This window comes from Homo sapiens, chromosome 18 (genome assembly GCF_000001405.40).
Source record: "Homo sapiens chromosome 18, GRCh38.p14 Primary Assembly".
Lineage (NCBI taxonomy): Eukaryota > Metazoa > Chordata > Mammalia > Primates > Hominidae > Homo > Homo sapiens.
In genome coordinates, this window is record NC_000018.10 from 79110295 (window position 1) to 79131877 (window position 21583).

A 21583-nucleotide genomic window follows, 5' to 3' on the forward strand; every position below is an offset into this window, starting at 1 on the left:
GTTTGAACTTTTTTAAAAAGCAAAAAAAAATACACAATACGTATCTTTTGTTTCATACAGTTGCTGTGGTTGGCTGATAAATATTTGTCGAAGAAAGAAAGAGCTGAAAGCTCGCACAGTATGGCTTGGATGTCCTGAAAAGTGTGAAGAAAAACATCCCAGGAATTCTATAAAAAATCAAAAATACAATGTGTTTACCTTTATACCTGGGGTAAGACTATTGCATTCTTGGAGATGGGTTGTGTGTCAGAGATTGCTGGCTTCCTTTGCTATAGGATGGAGCCTGTTGAGACTCTGACTTAGGTATTGAGTTGTGTCACATCCAAATCAGTGTCCTTTTGCTTTTGAACCATCTGTGTTCCCAATAATCGCTAAATAATTCATATGTATTTTTAATGGCTACATCATAGAGTTCAGCTCAAGAAAATGTACAATTTGATTATTGCCTTCAGTTCTTGATAAACATCATATTTATATTATTTTAGAAATATAGACATAATGAAGTAAAAGTAAATAAAATTAACAGAAAACAAGTTATACGTTTTGTTTGTCTGGGAACTAGTTTGGAGAAAACAGTAAATGTAATGTTTAAACCCTGCCAAGAGATTTCGCAAAGAAAATGAAACAATTTTTTATACTGAAATGATACAGTAACAAAGTATCTGTAATATGCATATTTATATATAGATGTCTTTGCTACTTCACATTATAAATCTCAGACCTTCTTATATTGTTATATCGTTAGTTATCTTTAATTGGGTATTATTGCTAAATTTAAATACTGTAGTTTAAATATTTTATTACTTTTGTTGCTAGTGATATTACTGGCTTAAATTATAAAACAGTTCATATACAATTAGAATAGTTGAATAATTTTTGTGTTTTGTATGTCATTCCTTATTTTAATAGATTTATTTATCTTTCTAAAGGAAAAGGAAGCTGGTATTGATTATATTTCTATATCAAAGTTTTTGGCATGTTTTATGTCTTTTATTTGCAAGAAAAGCTCTTGATTACATGGAATGTGGGTTGCTTTATCTTGTATATTTAATTTAAATAATCATGCTGACATTGTATTTGGCATTGATTTTACTCCCACCCCCACCTCATCCCCATCCACCTAGTGATTGGCAAATACTTGATATCTAATGCACTTCTTTATTAAAACCCACAAAACTAATGGCTTCATAATTAAAAGACAGACCTTTTGTCAGGATAATAAAATGTAAACTGTCTTACAGGCAGATAAATATTCGCATCTTTATTGAATGAAGCCACTGTTTTCTGCTTAGGTTTAAATTATTAAATACTCACAGATCTCAGAGATTGGCTAAGCAGTGTACGTTTTCCTAAAGGTCAGCAGGTTCAGTCAGTAGACTGTAGAGTATTGATTGCAGTCGTTTAAAGCCAGCAGTGCAGCTTAACTTTGATCAGTGTAAGTCCACACAGCCTGCCCAGATTGGCCGCATGCTGAAAATACCTGTGGATGTGACTGTATGATGATTACCATGTGTATGAGTTTTTTATCTTAGATCGTCTCTGAAATTAGTCTTTTCATCTAAAATGTAGTATTTTAGAAACATTTGGTAATTACCCAGTAGGAGTTCTATGTCATTTTTACCACGAATGGCAATTTCTAAGTTGCTAATAGATATAATTTATGCTGAGATTTTAAAGAAATCACTAAGGAAAAAGCACTTTATTTCCTGCTGAGATTAATTTATGAAATAATTCAAAACATTCTTAGACAGCAGGTTGAACGTGATTATGAACATAAATATATTGTCAGTGTAACTGATTTTGAGTCCCACACATTGCCGTATGATGATGCAGATAACCTCATTTTCTGAAAACAAGTTGCAGACTCTCTAGTTGAGCAATAAGCACTTAACCCATTGCCCTGCTTGGTGAAATTTTCATACCTTCTAAGTGGCATGGAAATGGCATCCAAAGAGATTGTGATTTGTAAGTTGCAGGTTTGCAAGTTTGATTTAATTGTAGTGTGCTGTTTGAATTATTCTCATCTGTAAACGTAAGTTTTGTTCCATTTTGATTTTCAATGTAAATCTAATAATTAGAGGCGTTTGTAAATTGAGATCTATTAATATGTTAGATCTTGGGTTTTCTTCTCTAAAGATAACTATTTAAAGTGAAAACCAAAACCAAAACCTTTCAGTATTGACATTCCTAAAATTTTATTGAATGATGAAATTTCTTTTATATTTGAAAATATTATTAAGAATTAACTACCCAAAGACCATAAGAGTAGCTGGGTAGCTGTCTTCTTGAAAACTGGTCTGCAATTACAACTTCTTATATTTTATCATTTTTAATGTTTTGAGGGAAGTAAATACCCACAAGAGATTAAGGCAGTCTATCTCGTGAAGTTACACCTGTTCACGTTTGGCTTGTTCATTCAGTCTTTGTAAAGCTACCTGGATGTCCGTGTTAAAAAAAAAAAGTGGCTATTTATTTGTTTTTTACCATTTCATAAATATAAGGTTAATATGACTTTTCCATTGTAAGATTTTCTGAGTCATTATCAAGATACACCTGTATATTTACTGGCTTGCTAACATTGGGAAGGTTTTGCTATCTAACTTTTTTTCATGTTCATGTAAAGACTTACTAAATGAGTATGGAAAACTGGAAAATTTCATATAAGAAAAATAAAAAAACTTTTAGATGACATTTTTAACAATTGAACGTCCTAATTGTCTTATTTTCAGTTTATTTAAAATATATTTTGGGAGTAACCTTACCTTTCTTTGTGATACAGCTATTAGAAAGCCAATGTGAAAATTAATACATTTACTTTGAATCACAACATATTCTCACTGTTTGATGGAAATGTGGTTATATGTTGTGCAGATTTTAATTGTTTAATTTAGGTATTAAAATTTTTTCCTTGAAGGAATTTTGTTAATTTTCTCTTTTCCTTTTTAGGTTTTGTATGAACAATTCAAGTTTTTCTTGAATCTCTATTTTCTAGTAATATCCTGCTCACAGTTTGTACCAGCATTGAAAATAGGCTATCTCTACACCTACTGGGCTCCTCTGGTAAGAAAAGACTTTAAAAATTAAGTTAAATTATGAAATATTTAGAATATAGTTTTAAGAGTTGAGATGGTTAAAAGTTAAATTGACCAGATTTTTAAAACATGGTGTTGTAGTGTTCACTGAACTTCTGTTAAAAGATTTTGCTGAGTGATTTCAGTCCCTCTGAGAACCATGGGAAGTATGGTGGCAGCACCTGCCTGTAGAGCTGCCAAAGTTACAAAGTGCCTGAGCTGGCAGCAGAGGGGTTTTCCTTGGTCATTCTGCACCTGTGTTAAGGTTGCAGGTCATCAGCAGCTCCCTCCTGTTTGATGCAGCTGTTGGGAATGGGGGCTGGGGCTGTGGGTCTGTTCTGTTACTCTCTTCACACCCTGACCATGGTGAGCATTCTGAAGTATCCAAGTGCAGTACGTATGATTTCTGGTTGATATCTCAGTGTATAAAGTTTTTCAAAAGGCCAGTGATGCAATGATGCTTATCAATGAATGTTTCCATTTCAAATATATGCTGTCTTGATAGTCTTAAGCTGTTGGCTGAGAGTTTTCATTAATTTTTAGCTTGTAGAGACAAGATGTACATCGTCTTTCCTCCTTTCATAGAAAAATGTACTTACTACTTCCTTTATTTTTATTTTTTATTTTTGGAGATAGAGTCTCACCCTGTCACTGGAGTGTAGTGGCACAATCTCGGCCCACTGCAACCTCCGCCTCCCGGGTGCAAGCAGTTCTCCTACCTCAGCCTCCTGAGTAGCTAGGATTACAGGCACACCTGGCTAATTTTGTGGTTTTAGTAGAGACGGCGTTTCACCATGTTGGCTAGGCTGGTCTCGAACTCCTCACCTCAAATGATCCACCTGCCTCAGCCTCCCAAAGTGCTGGGATTACAGGCGTGAGCCACTGCGCCTGGCCACTACTTCCTTTTTTTTGATTTGCTCCCTTTTGGGCAGATGACCCGAGGAATCTAGGTAGGAAACACAGAGAGTGAAAGGGTTCCTTCAGTGAAAGAAGAGTGCAGTCCTCGGGGTTCCACATGAGTTGTGGCCTTCCACATGGCGAGCCGAGCAGTCTGCTCCCGAGGGGTCTGTCCTGGCCTGGGTAGGCTCCGTCTCCCTAACCAGAGAACTCCAGATGAAGCAGGAGAACTGGAAGGTGGACTAAATTCTTGTTTCCTGGAGAGGCACAGTCAGGCTTTCCTGTTTACCTGTTAGTAAAGCCATGCTGAGGGAAATTTTTTGATTTCTCTTTCACATAGACTTCATAGTAGGGTGGATTTGAGGAATGAGTAACTTTATATGTAATATAAACACGAAATTACTAGATAAATGAATACATTTTTAACTTATTAAATTAGTAAGATTGAAAGAGACATTGGAGCTGAGCATGGGTAAAACTGTAACACTGTGGCGCTCATCCCATTAATATAGATGCCGTGAGCTCCCCCATTAGTGTGCATAGTGTGCATGCATGCCTGTGTTGCCTTTTTGGAGGGTCATTGGTAATATATATCAAAGACCTGAAAACCAGATTCAGCATTTTTACTTGAGGAATTTATCCTAAAGAAATAATGATTGACTTCCTCTTTTCCTAATTGAATACCCTTTATTTCCTTCTCCTGCCTGATTGCAAATTGTCCCTGTTTGCAGATGACATGATTGTTTATCTAGAAAACCCCATCGTCTCAGCCCAAAATCTCCTTAAGCTGATAAGCAACTTCAGCAAAGTCTCAGGATACAAAATCAATGTACAAAAATCACAAGCATTCTTATACACCAACAACAGACAAACAGAGAGCCAAATCATGAATGAACTCCCATTCACAATTGCTTCAAAGAGAATAAAATACCTAGGAATCCAACTTACAAGGGATGTGAAGGACCTCTTCAAGGAGAACTACAAACCACTGCTCAAGGAAATAAAAGAGGACACAAACAAATGGAAGAACATTCCATGCTCATGGGTAGGAAGAATCAATATCGTGAAAATGGCCATACTGCCCAAGGTAATTTACAGATTCAATGCCATCCCCATCAAGCTACCAATGACTTTCTTCACAGAATTGGAAAAAACTACTTTACAGTTCATATGGAACCAAAAAAGAGTCTGCATCGCCAAATCAATCCTAAGCCAAAAGAACAAAGCTGGAGGCATCACACTACCTGACTTCAAACTATACTACAAGGCTACAGTAACCAAAACAGCATGGTACTGGTACCAAAACAGAGATATAGATCAATGGAACAGAAGAGAGCCCTCAGAAATAATGCCGCATATCTACAACTATCTGATCTTTGACAAACCTGAGAAAAACAAGCAATGGGGAAAGGATTCCCTATTTAATAAATGGTGCTGGGAAAACTGGCTAGCCATATGTAGAAAGCTGAAACTGGATCCCTTCCTTACACCTTATACAAAAATCAATTCAAGATGGATTAAAGATTTAAACGTTAGACCTAAAACCATAAAAACCCTAGAAGAAAACCTAGGCAATACCATTCAGGACATAGGCATGGGCAAGGACTTCATGTCCAAAACACCAAAAGCAATGGCAACAAAAGCCAAAATTGACAAATGGGATCTAATTAAACTCAAGAGCTTCTGCACAGCAAAAGAAACTACCATCAGAGTGAACAGGCAACCTACAACATGGGAGAAAATTTTCGCAACCTACTCATCTGACAAAGGGCTAATATCCAGAATCTACAATGAACTCAAACAAATTTACAAGAAAAAAACAAACAACCCCATCAAAAAGTGGGCGAAGGACATGAACAGACACTTCTCAAAAGAAGACATTTATGCAGCCAAAAAACACATGAAGAAATGCTCATCATCACTGGCCATCAGAGAAATGCAAATCAAAACCACTATGAGATATCATCTCACACCAGTTAGAATGGCAATCATTAAAAAGTCAGGAAACAACAGGTGCTGGAGAGGATGTGGAGAAATAGGAACACTTTTCCACTGTTGGTGGGACTGTAAACTAGTTCAACCATTGTGGAAGTCAGTGTGGCGATTCCTCAGGGATCTAGAACTAGAAATACCATTTGACCCAGCCATCCCATTACTGGGTATATACCCAAAGGACTATAAATCATGCTGCTATAAAGACACATGCACACGTATGTTTATTGCGGCACTATTCACAATAGCAAAGACTTGGAACCAACCCAAATGTCCAACAATGATAGACTGGATTAAGAAAATGTGGCACATATACACCATGGAATACTATGCAGCCATAAAAAATGATGAGTTCATGTCCTTTGTAGGGACATGGATGAAATTGGAAACCATCATTCTCAGTAAACTATCGCAAGAACAAAAAACCAAACACCGCATATTCTCACTCATAGGTGGGAATTGAACAATGAGATCACATGGACACAGGAAGGGGAATATCACACTCTGGGGACTGTGGTGGGGTCGGGGGAGGGGGGAGGGATAGCATTGGGAGATATACCTAATGCTAGATGACACGTTAGTGGGTGCAGCGCACCAGCATGGCACATGTATACATATGTAACTAACCTGCACAATGTGCACATGTACCCTAAAACTTAGAGTATAATAAAAAAAAAAAAAAAATTAAAAAAAAAAAAAAAAGAAATAATGATTGATCACAAAGTCTAAAGAATGTCCATTATAAATATTTTAAAAAGTCGAATGTCTAACAATAGATTATTCAAACTGCCATATCCTGTGTACTTGTTGGAATACTGTGTAGCTTTAAAAATGGTGTTTAGGAAAAGTGTTTAATAACATAAAAGTTATGTATGTATTAGAATAAATTTTAAAAGGTGGCTCAAAATATGTATAGAAGGAAATCCACAGTTCTTTTGATCAATCAATATTGAGCTCCTTCATGTCCAGCCATAGTCTAGGTAATGTTGATACAACAGTGAACAAGACAAACCAAATCCTGTTCTAATAGAACTAAAATTCTGGGAGAAAAGGCAGTATATAAACTCCTAATGCCACGTAGCCATCCATCAGGCTATGAAGAAGAAAATATAAAGCAGGAAAAATGAGTAGAGGATGAAAGGGTTATTCTATATGGGATGGTCAAGGAAGGCCTCTCCTGTGAGGTGACATTGGAATGACATCTTACTGGTAAAACAGTCAGATATGAAACAGGGAAGAGTGTTGCAGGCAGAGGAGTAATTGCAGAAGGTCTTGGACTGTTTTAGCATGCTCCAGGGTGGGAGGAGGTCATCCAGGAGGGTGTGGGTGGGAAGAAGTAGTTGGAAAGGAGGTCAGAGGGCCTGGCGTCAACTCTTCCAGGGCTCTCAGATTTCATCCTGGGTGAAAAAGGAAGCCGTATGTTTGTGTATATATTGCATGTATTCACACACAGAAGAAACACTGAAGTGTATACAACAGAATTTTGAAAGTTGTTGTTGAAGCTAGGTAACCGTGGAAGAGAGTATAGATAACTGTTTCTCCTTTCTTTTCTCCACCTTCCACCACATTAGCAGTAACCTATTCTGAATGTGAGATTATAATTCCTATGTATCTCTTAATAGTTTTACTGTGTTTATATTTATCATTAAAACAATATGCAATATTATTTTGTATGCTTTAACATTTTTTATAAAGGTTATCTTAATCTGTGTGGCCTATTGCAACATACTTTTTTGGCTTAACATTTGTTTATAAAATTGATCCATATCAACACATATATCTACTTCATTTTTCACTTCACTAAAGTGTTTCATTGTATAAATATACCACAACTGATTCATCCCTTCCTTTGGGAAAGGAGACTTTGGGGTCGTTTCTCATTTTTTACCATTATAAATATTGTTAAACAATATGATTGTTCATAAGCATTGTTATAATGAACAATGTGATTGTTAACGATTGCTTATGCATTTGTGCAAAACATTCTACAGGCTGTGTACTTCCTAGAAGTCTCATTTAAAAACTGCTGTTGATTTTTTTCATTTTCTAATAAAAGCAGTATAGCATTATAGAAACTTTAGAACACAGAGAAAAATACTTGCTCATTTTAAAACACAATCATATTGAACGTTTTTGTTTTTTTTTTTTTTTTTTTTTTTTTTTTGAGACAGAGTCTTGGTCTGTCGCCCAGGCTGGAGTGCAGTGGCGCGATCTCGGCTCACTGCAAGCTCCGCCTCCCGGGTTCATGCCATTCTCCTGCCTCAGCCTTCCAAGTAGCTGGGACTACAGATACCTGCCACCATGCCCTGCTAATTTTTTGTATTTTTAGTAGAGATGGGGTTTTACCATGTTGGCCAGGATGGTCTCGATCTCCTGACCTCGTGATCCGTCCGCCTCAGCCTCCCAAAGTGCTGGGATTACAGGTGTGAGCCACCGTGCCCGGCCAATTATATTTATGATTTTAATGTATTTATTTCTAGCCCCTTTTTTTCTATTCATAGCTTTCACAGTTGTATTTACTGCTTAAGTATCGTTTCCCGGCTGGGTGCTCGTACCAGTAATCTCAGCACTTTGGGAGGCCAAGGCGGCAGGATATCTTGAGTTCAGGAGTTCAAGACCAACCTGGGTAAGATGGTGAAATTCCATCTCTACCAAAAAATAGAAAGATTAATTGTGTGTGGTGGTACATATCTTTAGTCCCAGCTACTCAGGAAGCTGAGGTTGGAGGATTGCTTGAGCCTGGGACACAGAAATTGTTGTGAGCCATGATTGCGCCACTGCACTGAAGCCTGGGTAACAGAGCGAGACCGTGTCTTAAAAAAAAAAAAAAAAAAATTGCCTTGTGGGTTAAAACTGTTTTAACTTAAACAATGATGGTCTGAGAACACAAATTCTTCTTAATAAAGTAAAGCAAATGTATTTATATATATTTTGCTTCAGCCTTTTGTACTTACTCTGATTTAACTAGGTTTCAACCAAAGAAAATGTCCTTTTGATGGTTCTTTCTGAAGAACTTTATTTGATTTGTTCACAAAATTGATGATCTTGGCCATACTTGAGTGAAGTGTGCACACAAGCACACACACGTCTGTTTACCAAGACGAGAAAACGTTTCTCTGTTTTTTCTTTTCATATGATTGTTCATTTCCAGTTCCAGCTGCAATTTTTAGTCCTTTAGCTTGAATTTTCATCCTCTGTTATTTTGAAGTACTTTATCATTTTTTGACATGTATTAGCTTTAATTATTTTTAGATAATTACCTCAATAAGCAACTACTTCAATATTCATATAAAAGATACTGTTATTCCACTATATTTGCGTTTTAAGATTTTAGAGAAGTGAAAAGCCACTTTTTCCATTTGAATAATGCTTGACGTTGCCTTCTGATGCACCTAGATGAGTTCTCTTGTGTCCTGAGTATCATATTGTTCGATCTGAGAATTGATTTACTTTTTAAATGATTTTCTTTCGTTCCTTGGTTTGGCAGCAGCCACAATTGATGCTACCTTTCAGATAACAAATGATGAATAGTATGCTTTCTCTGTTTATATGCATCTTAACCTTTGATTGAGCAAACCTCTTAAAAAGTTGATGTACACCTTAGGCTTACCTTCAAATCTGAGAAGCAAGCTTAGGAGAGCATATTGATTCTTTTAAAAAGCTTTTAAAAACGCTGAAAATCAAGACAATTTGAATAATTAGACAAAGTTAAGGAATAATTAAACATACACTAAATCTAAAGAAATCTCTTTAAAGGAAACTATTTAAAATAATGCAAATTTGAAAATATGTATAGGTGTCTCTTTTTTAACTGAAGAAAATGTTCTTCAACAAGAATTCCTCATAAGCCCTTGAGTTCTTGCATTTTCTATACCAGTTTATATTAACCCCATTATATCCAGTGCCAGCAACACCATCATCTTTATACATACATTGACTTCTTTTTGCCATCTTTTGTTCTCTAAGGTTCTATAATGTTCTCAAGAAAAAGATATCAGTTAACATTTCCAGATTTCTTCTAGCCAAAATCCTGCCTCTGAGGCATAAAACCATTTTACAGTTGTCGGTTGTAAAATCCTATTTCTGTTGTTCGCTAATTTTAAATAAAACAAGTTACTTCAAACTTACTCCCTCTGTTCTCTAATTAAAATTGAGATGTTTTTGAAAACAATGATAGCTTAATTAATAATATTTCTTTTTCAGTTGCTTTTGGTAATATTATTTATTAGCTTTAGGTCTGAACTAATTTCTGTTATACTTCCCATATAATAGAAGTGTAAATTGAAAATAAGTTGATTTCATTACATTTTTGTGTCTGGATGAAGATTACTTTTCATACTCAGCTTTCAGAACAATTCTTTAAAGCAAAGCTTGTGTAATCAGAGTAACAAAACAGAATGTCATGCTTCTATCAAAATGAACGAGATGGAATAGATCTGTCTATGCAGAAGATCTTTAGATAAAGAAAGCTCTGGCTCTAACAGTTTTTAACACTGTATCTTCTATATAAAATGTCTTCTGCTACTTTGTTAATAAATAATTGGTAACCGGATAGGCTATGTAGGTGAGAAATCAATCTATGAGGACTTTGATTTTTCAGTCTTATTTAAAAATCTTCCCTTCATCCACTCTTTTCTCGTGTGCGTGTCTCTGCATTAGAGGTGTGGGCAAAGTAAGAAAAGGAAAAACGAATGAAATTGCTTGGAATCATCCAGAGACAACCATTGTTAGTGATCTGTGTGGCCTTGGTAAGGTTACTTACTCACTTTGTGTCTCAATTCCCTTATCTGTAAATTAGAGGTAAAGATACATACTTTGTAGGATTTTTGTGATATTTAAAAGGGGTAACTCATTTAGGATACTTGGAAAAGTGTGTGGCACATGATAAGCCCTCAAAGGCACATCAATAATGTACCCATCTAACTTTTTCTCCTTTTACAAAAATGTATATTGTTTTGGACTAGCTCCGCATTGTTCTTGGGTTATCTGGAGAAATAGGAGAAAGGCTGTGGACAAGCCACGTGAGAAGAAGTCCATGTTGTCCAGTCTGTGTAACACACTTGTGCCCAAATACTGCTGTTTCCAGGATGACAGTAGTTTAAATGGCCCTTCTTGCTTCCAGTTTTGATTTTTCTAGGGAGCAGTGTTATAGCATAAATCTCTGACCTTGTTGGTACCGAGGTAATGGGAAGATCCAAGTGCTCCTACAGTAAGACTTGCTTACTCCAGTCCTCCATAAACCACCAATCTGTAATGATCCATTTAAGAACTCAGATCTAAACTCTTACGGGTAGAGGCTCATTTGTTGTAGACTCCAGTGGTAGAAGGAAATAGTGGCCTCAACTTCCCTTTCCTTTAGTGTCTTTTATGTTCCTAGGCTGGCCATTGGGCATTTCCTTGGATAGATACGCAGGGGATGGACGTGATGGTGGTGACATCTTTTGGGTGTTGAGAATCGTACACATGTGTTACTTATTCAGAGAAACAGATTTGGAAGTGTGTTGTAAAACAGCTTGGACAGTCTAATAGTCCTTGCCTGTGACCAGGATCTTGTTTCCTCTTAAGAGTGTTTAACTCCTGTTTTCAGGACTTAGGACCTAACCCTCTTTATTCTGTCTTCTCTAATACTACTTCATTTGAAGTGGGAGCTTAATTTCACTGACTTCCTTGAGTTCTTAGGAACTAGCACATTTTTGTGGCTTATGATTACTCAATGAATTTGGTTAACTTTTGCTGTCTTTAAGCCATAAGTTTAAAGGGGTGAAAATTAGAGTCACCTGGAGAGTTTAACATATGTGTCTGAGGTCTCTTCCCTGGAAATTAGAGGTAAAAGTACACATTTCAGGTAGGGTCTGAGCAAATTTATGTTACAAAAAATCTTTTCAGGTGATTATGATATGCTTACCTGATTAAAAAACACTCCTTTAAAATATTGTCTATACTATATAAATAAAATGTGCTTGGTAATCACTTTCATTCTCTTATCTCAGTGAGTCACAAACAGAACTTTTTTTAAGAAGTTACCTCTGCATCATGAACATGAGTCTGTAGCAGTAAGTCTTCTCTTACGTGGGAATAGCTGCAGACAAGTATATTTCTTGGATTCAAAGATGCATATTTTTCATGTTACTAAAATTAAGCTGTGGCTTATAAAATGTGTATATTTACAATGCTATTGTCTTCCCACCCAAGACTACTACTAAAATAATACTGACGTATCTTAAAACCAGTGACATCTTTGAATCAAGGAAATATAGCATTTCATCATATGACTGTGCTATGAATTTCTTACTTGTGGACATTCAGGTTATTTCTAATTTTTCATATTCATGCTGTGATCCTATAATTTTTCCTTTAAGATAAGTTTCTAGAAGTGAAACTGCTTGTTTAAATATGTGCAAATTTTAAGGCTTTTGACAGCACCAACTTTCTTAGAACTTTTTTGGGGATATCTGCTGCTTTGGCTTTTCATATTCATTTTCTTTGTTTTTCTGTTGCTAACTCTAGTTCAATAAAATGATGAATTTATATTCAAGTTCTTCTTTGTCTCTAACAGGCTTTTTGATAACCACTTTTATTTCATTGCTGCTTTGTCATAACTTGTTACCAGCTTTGAAGAAACTGGCCATCATTCCCTATTGTATATTCTTCACTCTATTATGGAGACGTTTATCATAATATAAAAATTTCTTCTGTTCTTAAAATTTTGTACTTCACACAGCTGACATCACTCTTAATCATAAAAGACTGAATGTGTTCCCCTTAAACTTAGGAACAAGGGTGTTTGCTCCCACCAGTTCTGTTCAACATTGTATAGGGCAGTTAGTTAAGAAAATGAAGTAAAAGGCATCTAGATGGAAAGAAAGAGGACTGTCTATCTCTAGTCACAGATGGCATGATCTTGTTTATAGGAAAACCTAGGGAATCTACACACAAAAACATTGTAACTAAACAAAATGAATTAGCAGGGTTGCAGGATACAAGATGAACATACAAAAGTCACTTGTATTTCTAGCAGTGACCATCCCAAAATGGAATTAGGATAACAATTCCATTTATAATCTCATCAAAAAGAAAATTATAGGAATAAGCTTAAAGCATGAAATTACATAATGAAAGCTATAAAAGAATTTTGAAAAAAAAGAAAGGTCTAAATAAGTGGAAAGTCATGTTCATGAGTTGAAAGACTTAATATTGTTAAGATGGCAGCACTCTCCAAACTGACACACAAATTTAATCCAACTCCTAACAGTATCCTAGCTGGCTTTTTTTTTTTCTTTATGTTTTTAAATGTTTTTGCAGAAATTGACAGATTGATCCTAAAATCCATATGAAAATGCAAAGGGCTCAGAGTGGCTAATACGTCATAGAAAAAAGTAGATCAAAGTTGGAGAACTCACACTTTCCCATTCCCAAACTTATTACAAACTGCATGATCAAGACAGTATGGTACTGACATAAAGATAGGTGCATAGATCAGTGTAATTGAGAGTCCAGAAATAAACCTTTAAATTTATAACACATTGATTTTCAACTCGGGCACCAAAATAGTAACTTTTATAACTCAACAACTAAACCTAGGAAAAAGGTAGGTAAAGGATCTGAGTAGACATTTACCCAAAGAAGATATACAAATGGCCAATAAGCATGTGAAAAGTTGCTCAACGTCATTAGTCAGTAGAGGAATGCCAGTTAAAACCAGAGATACTACTTCACACCCAGTAGGATGGCTGCAATACAAAGGGCAGACAGTAACAAGTGTTGGTGAGGATGTGGAGACATTGGAACCCTCATTAGTTGCTGGCAGGAATGTAAAGTGGTGCAGCCACTTTGAGGAGCAGTTTGGCAGTTCCTCAAAATACTACACACACAATTACCATGTCACCCAGAATAGGCAAACTCATAGAGACAGAAAGTGGATGAGTCATTGCCAGGGCCTAGGAGTGGGAGGGAATGGGTATGGTGCTTCATTTTGGGATGATGGAAATCTTCTAAAATTAGATGATGGTGACGGTTGTACAACTCTGTGAAGGTACTAAAAAACGAATTGTATACATTTATAGTGTTAATTTTATGGCATGTGAATTATATATCAACAAAGCTATTATCTAAAAAAAGAATACAGTGTGTGCTAAAGGACCTAAGTGAGGTCTTACTCTGCTCATCAGCTGGTGTCTTCAGTGGAAACCATGGCAAATACATGGCACATGCCGTGCCATGCCTGCCTTCTTTGCAGATGGGGCACATCACAAATTGTTCATGGCTTCTTTTTCCTTGAGTCCAAGAGTGGCTTTAGGATACTTCTCAAAACAGTGCTTCCAACAACCCCTGGGAATACACTGGCAAAGATCAGAAAGACATCATGGTGTTTCAGGAGACTACTCATAGTTCCCTGGTGTTGAAGGATACAGCAATATTGAGTGGGGGACAAGGCTAGAGATCTGTCTATTCGTAAGGTTAGGGGTTTGGGGAGAGCACTGTATTTCATTGGGAGAGCTGGGGAGAGCCTGCGTCCGGCTGGGGTGCCACACCGAGTACAGTCAGGCTGGAGAGATGTGTGGAAGGAAGCACAGTTAGCAGTTGGAGGAAGGAGCCATAGTATTGCTTATAGATGATGGCAGTGGGATGGGTAGAGAATTAGGCCATCAGTGGGCTGAGGCCAGCTTTGGGGTGACTGGATAAAGAGGGGTGCATGGCTTCAGAAAGACAGCCAGGAGAATGTGGTGTCCAGGAAGCCAAGGGATGGGGAATTGGAAAGAGGGCCTGGTGAACAATTGGAATGCACAGAGGAATGGGAAGTTTCGTGAGATGGTCTGCCTTACTTGAGAATAGTTTTAGTCAAGTGGTGGAAGGAAATTGTGGCAAGTGGAGAAGTATACTGGATATGAAAAGGTTTCCGATGGTGCAGAGTGCAGACTAAGGGAGGAGAAGACTTGATGTGCTCAGGGAGAGATGGTTGTAGGGCCGAGGGAGGCTCATGATTAGGGGGAGAGCACACAGTATGGCTGAAGAGAGATGGCAGAGGGGCTGAAAAGGAGTGAGAGACACAGGCTGTCAGGTTGATTTTGAATGGGAAAGAGACTAGAAGAATCCATGTTTAAGTCATGACTGTTGAAGGGGTTTTCAAATAGGACACTTGAGAAAAATACCATTTCAGTAAATACAAGAAACATTCTTCAGCAGCACACTTAATTTGGCCTATTGGTTATACAGAAAACAAAAAACTGAAATAAAAAAGATTATTGTGCTTTCAGTGGACATACATCCAGTGTTCTGTTATTTACAGTTTTGACTGAAGCAAGGTCATCATTAATAATAGAGATTGACTTGAAGAATATTCCTGTAACATGTCAGAAAATATATATGCAGCCTTTAAAAATGATGGGCATTAGCTTCATATTAGTGGTATAATGGGCTTCACAATAAATTATGAGAATATAAAAATTTTTTTCTAGCTAGCATCATATTAATACAGGCAGATTTTTACTTAAAAAGTGAGATGAAAGCACTATAATTGTTCATTCTACTGCAGTTATATAATAATGCACTATGTAAGAAAATCGATGTGTGATTATCTGGGAATTGTTTTGTGTTCCTAAATACTTTTATTCTGTAAGAAAAATTTAAGTGCAGAAATTAAGTGTAAGATTTTTATGTCAGTCATTGTAAATTTTGTATTTGAATGCCCAAGTATTCTAAATATAATTTGTGGATTTATTGAAGATTGTTAATTTCTTTTTCTTTGGGTTACTAGGTATTTTCTGACACTTAGCTTGAAGTATCTATTAGGAGGTGAATTAAAAATTTGGGGAGTATACTAAGAGTTGCATACCTTTTACAATGAATCCTTTTGTAATATTTCATTGTTACTTTTTGACTTTTTTGGTTTTCATTTATTTTATGTTTTAGAGAGTAATATAAATTGAAGGAAAAAAGTTAAACCAAGTAACAAATAATTTTGTCTTTTTTGTTAAAGTTTAGTTTTCTAAAAATACCTTATTTTGTTTTATAGGGATTTGTCTTGGCTGTTACTATGACACGGGAAGCAATTGATGAATTTCGGCGTTTTCAGCGTGACAAGGAAGTGAATTCACAACTATATAGCAAGCTTACAGTAAGAGGTCAGCAAGATGCTTTAATCCTGCTTAGCGTTTGCTTACTGTAATTATCATTTTAGAGTTAACATAACAAATGTATGAAAACATTTTAATTCTATTATTGAAAATAGTATTATGTGATTGTATATGATATCTAATTAATTTCCTTATAATGTATAATGCAATTTTAGGGTAGATATTTGTTCATTCTCTAGCTGTTTGGATGTATGTTGTGTACACATATATACAAATGCACACACAACCACACAAGCATGTACATGTATTACTAATAATCATGTAATGTGTTCTATTGGTATATACGTATTTTCTGAGAGGCATAATGTCACTTCATCTAAAATCTATCTTGGTATTTTAAACACACTCATAAAGGTCAAATGTCTATACCATGGCATTAACCTATTCTTAAGTACAGAGGCCTTTGAACAACAGAAATAAATATCGTGATCCAAGATGATAACTGATGCAAGCACACTTCTCCTTAACCTTCATTCAGGGCCTTAACTCTTGCTTAACTTACATCCTTCAAGCGCTTGTTTATTTGATTTTTCAGTCCATAGTACAAAAGGAAGCAATGTATTAAGAAGAGAGTGGGGGAAACGATGACAAGTAGGCATAAGATAGTAAAAAAGTGACTGAAAACCTTGGGAATGAGGGAGACACTGAAAAACTGAATGGGTATTCATAGTAACCCCAAAGTCTGTTTAAAAAGTTTGCAGTGGATTTTTATCTTTTGTATGTATATAAGAGGACATTTACAATGAATTATTTAACTTGAAATAGTACCTTCAAAAATGACTTATTTTTAACACCTTATTGGGCTCTATTTCACATAACATAAAATTTATCCATGTAAAGTATACAATTCAGTGTTTTTGGTGTATTCATAAAGTTGTGCAGCCATCACCAACACTGTCATTTAAGTTTAGCATACTTTTGACATTCTCAGAAGGAGCCCTGAATACATGAGAAGGCAGTGGTCGTTCTTGCTGTTTCCCTCCCCACCCTACCCCAGCTCCAGGCAGCCGCCGTTCTCCTTTCTGTCTCTGTGGTTTTGCCCACTCTGCACATTTCATATCAATGGAATTATGCAATGTGTGGTCCTTGGTCACCAGCTGCTTTCACTGGACATGTTTTCAAGGTTCATCTGGTAGTAGCATTCATCAGTACTTCATTTCCTTTTGCTGCTCAGTAATGTTCCAGTGTATGATAGAGCACATTTTGTGTATCCATTCATTAGTGGGTGGACATTTGGGGTTGTTTCTACTTTGTGACCGTTGTGAATAATGCAGCTATGGACATTTGTGTACAAGCTTTTGTGTGAATATTGTTTTCATTTATCTTGGATACATACCTAGGAGTGAGATTGCTGGATTATTTGGTAACTCTATGATTAGCATTTTAAAGAATTGCCAACCTGCTTTCCTAATTGGCCACACCATTTTACATCCCCACCAGCAATGGATGAGGGTTCCAGTTTTCCCACATCCTCACCTGTACATAACTCTCTGCCTGTTTGATTGCAGCCACTGCTTTTTGATTATAGTGGGTGTGAAGTAGTATCTCATTGTGGTTTTGGTTTGTATTTTCCTAATGATTAATGATGTTGAGCATCTTTTCATTTGCTTATTAGCTGTTTGTATATCTTTTCTGGATAAATGTCTGCTCAGATCCTTTGCCGACTTTTTTTTTTTTTTTTTTTTTTTTTGAGACGGAGTCTTGTTCTGTCGCCCAGGCTGGAGTGCAGTGGCGCAACCTCTGCTCACTGCTACCTCCTCCTCCCGGGTTCGGGCGATTCTCCTGCCTCAACCTCCCGAGAAACTGGGATTACAGGTGCCTGCACTGCGCCCGGGTGATTTTTTGTATTTTTAGTCGATACGGGGTTTCACTATGTTGGCCAGGCTGGTCTTGAACTCCTGACCTCGTGATCCACCCGCCTTGGCTTCCCAAAGTGCTGGGATTACAGGCGTGAGCCACGCCCATCCCTTTTGCCAACTTTTTAACTGGGTTGTTTGATTCATTTTGTGTATGGGGTAAGGTGTGGGTCCATATTCTTTTGTATGAATATCAGGTTGTCCTAGTATGACTTGTTGAAAACAATGTTTTTTCTCCATGGAGTTGAAAAATTATTAAAAATCTTTGATGCTCGAATGGTGGTGTGGTGGAGGAAGGATGAAGAAGGTAAGCCTTAGTATTGGAGAAAAAAACCCCCAAATGGCCCGGTAAATTGTGTATAACTTTGCATTGTCTTTGTAAGAATATAATATAGATCTATCTGATTTTTAAAATTGTTGTAATGGAGGGGCTAGGCAGAGATGTTTTTCTGGTGTATTAATTGTATTATTCAGAAATAACTAGAGTGGTGATGGCAGTGAAATGGCAGAGTTGGCGGCTCCATATGCCTGCCCTTCCACAGAAACATTGAAAATCAAGCAGAAACTGTTAGAACTAACTACTTCAGACCTCTAGAAAAGTCAAAGGTTTACAGCACCCAGGAAATTGCTGCATCCAGAGAAAGTCAACCTAGAAACAGTTGGAAAGCTTTTTCCCCACAATTGTCCTGATCTCAGCACCTTCTCCCAACACTGTAACAGGGCACTAATCTTGAAGATAATGGCCCATGTTCCCAGTTTGCAGCTTATTCCAAATAATTGTTTCTGCCTCTAACCAGTCGGGGGACTGCTTGGAGGGTTGACCCTAGGTGCTTGTCTTTTTTCACCTAACTTGAACTCAGGGCAGAAAAGTAGAAATGTAGCGCCATTTCTCAAACATATGCAAGGCTAATGAATAGCCTGTAGTAGCAGAGGGCAAAAGATGACAGTCAAGCCAGATAGTAGAGTGTCAAATGCCAGGCAGAAGAAGCTAGGGAGGGAGTTTCTTTGGGAAATTTGAGCATTCAAAAATTCCCCTGTGTATGCTGGGGAATTTTGGAAGCGACATGCAAGCCAAGAACTGGAGGAATGCTCAGATCCAAAGTCTTTCCCTCTGGCCAGTCTCTAGGCTCAGTGCAAGAAGGAAGGGAAGGATGCAGCACAGTTGTTAATGGCCTGGCTAAATCTTCAGTGAGGCTGCCGCACAGAGCCAGGCTCCAAAGCCCAGGACAGGTTTTGTTTGGGTTTGTTTCCTCCTCCCCCCTGCCCCTCCTTTTTCTCTCTTCATTTTGAAGGAAATCTTTGTCAGAACACTGGCTGAATATAAGAATGGAAGAGAGACTTTAGAGACCATCCATGATAAAGAATACACACTTTACAAAAATAGTGTAGAAAAATCAGTAGACAAACACAGCTACAGCATGTAACAATAAAATCAACCAAGAAGAGGGAGAAATAGCTAATTTCCAGAATTACCAGATTATAATGTATGTCCAGTTTTCTTTTTTTCTTTTTTTTTTTGAGACAGAGTTTTGCTCTGTTGCCCAGGCTGGAGTGCAATGGTGCGATCTCAGCTCACTGCAACCTCCGTCCCCCGGCTTCAAGTGATTCTTTTGCCTCAGCCTCCTGAGTAGCTGGAATTACAGGCATGCGCCACCATGCCCGGCTATTTTTTGTATTTTGTAGAGATGGGGTTTCGCCATGTTGGCCAGGCTGGTCTCAAACTCCTGACCTCAGGTGATCCACTTGCCTTGGCCTCCCAAAGTGCTGGGATTACAGGTGTGAGCCACTGCACCCGGCGTATGTCCAGTTTTCTACAAAAAACATTACAAAGCATGCAACAAAACAAAATGTGGCCCACTCCCAGAAGAAGGTAATAGTAACTGCCCCTGAGGAAAGCCAGACATCAGACTTAGGAGACAAAAAGTTTAAATCAGCTGTCTTAAATGTGCCAGGGCGCTCAAGGAAACCATGGGGATGTTGCTTAAAAGATATCAGAATGATGTAGAAGCAAGTAGAGAATTATCTAAAGGAAGCAAACAAATTCTGGCACTGAAAAGTATAGTAAGTGAAAAGAACACTCACTGGAGGGATTCAGTAGCAGAATTGAGCACACCAAAGAAACAGTGAACTTAAGCCTAGGTCAGTTGTATTTATCCAGTTTGAGGAGCAGAAAGAATGGGAAAAAAAAAACAAAACCGCTCTTAAGAGACCTGTGGGACAGCATCAAGCGTACCAAATACACATGATGGAGATGCAAGAAGTCGAGGAGAGAGAGAGAGGACAGAGAAAATATGTGAAGGAATAATGGCCAAAAACTTTCTAAATTTGATAAAAGACATTAATCTGTACATTCAGGAAGTACAGCAAAGCACATGAAGGATAATACGAGAAAAATCCATAATGAGATACATAACCAAGCAGCTGACACCCACAGACCAAGAGGACACCCTGAAAGCAGAGAGAGAGAGAGAAGTAACTGGTCACACACAAGGAACCCTCCGTAGGATTTATCAGAAGCCATGGAGGTCTGAAGGCAGTGGGGTGACATTTTTAAAATGGTGAGAGAGAGAGAAAAAAAACCTGTCAGTTAAGAATTCTATATCTGGTAAAACTGTCATTCAGAAATGAAGAAGTTTTCTGGGCCTGGTGGCCCATGCCTGTAATCTCAGCACTTTGGGAGGCCGAGGCAGGTGGATAACTTGAGGTTAGGCATTCAAGATGAGCCTGGCCAATGTGGTGAAACCCTGTCTCTACTAAAAATACAAAAATGAGCTGGGCATGGTGGCATGCACCTGTAATCCCAGTTAGTCAGGAGGCTGAGGCAGGAGAATCGCTTGAACCTGGGAGGCAGAGGTTGCAATGAGCTGAGATCGTGCCACTGCACTCCAGCCTGGGCGAAAGAGCAAGACTCCGTCTCAAAAAAAAAAAGTTGTTAAGACATTCACAGATAAACAAAAGCTAATACGCTTTCGTGCATCTAAGGGCATTATCAAAAATGTAAAAAGAAAGAATGAGAGAAAATTGTATATCTGATAAGGATCCAGTATCCAGGATACATAAAGAACTCTTACAATTTCAACATTAGAAAGATAACCCAATTAGAAAATAGGCAAAGGACCTGGACAGGCAATTCTAATTCTCCGAAGAAAATATACAGATGGCCAACATACATGTGAAACGACAGTCAGTCAACAGCCTTAGACCAGAGGGAAGTGCAAATCTCTATGAGACATCACCATACACCACTAGGTTGGCTGTAATTTTAAAATATAGAATATCGAGTGCTGGAGAGGATCTGGAGAAATTAGAATCTTTGCACATTGCTTGTGGGAACAAAGTGGTTCAGCAGCTGTGGAAAACACACTGTCAGTTTCTCAAATAGTTAAAAAGAATTTAAAGCAGGGACCCAGTGTTTATTTAGTGTTTATTCACTATTCACAATAGCCAAAGGGTGATAATAGCCCAGATGTTCACTAAAAGATGAGTGGATAAACGAATGGATAGCAAATTTCTATGATGGAATTTTATTCAGGCATAGAAATCATGAAGGGTTGCTACATGCTACAACCTGGATGAACCTCAAAACATTATGCTATGTGGAAGAAGCCAGATGAAAAAGGTCCCATATTGTGTG

The 21583-nt window shown here is 37.4% G+C and overlaps 1 protein-coding gene across 32 annotated transcripts in view; it reads left to right on the forward strand.

Annotated features, from left to right (window-relative positions):
- ATP9B (ATPase phospholipid transporting 9B (putative)) overlaps positions 1 to 21583 on the forward strand; it is a 308890-nt gene that overhangs the window by 40901 nt on the left and 246406 nt on the right. For 31 of the 32 annotated variants that reach the window (NR_148360.2, XM_017025726.2, XM_011525963.3 and 28 more), the window contains 3 exons: positions 61 to 211; positions 2947 to 3060; positions 15973 to 16081. Coding sequence is in view for 30 of the 32 variants with exons in the window: in XM_017025726.2 (XP_016881215.1) it covers positions 61 to 211; positions 2947 to 3060; positions 15973 to 16081 (374 nt within the window). In the remaining 2 variants the exon portion in view is untranslated. Of the gene's footprint in view, positions 1 to 60; positions 212 to 2946; positions 3061 to 15972; positions 16082 to 21583 lie in introns of those variants that run through there. The other variant, XM_011525972.3, reaches the window with a different exon arrangement.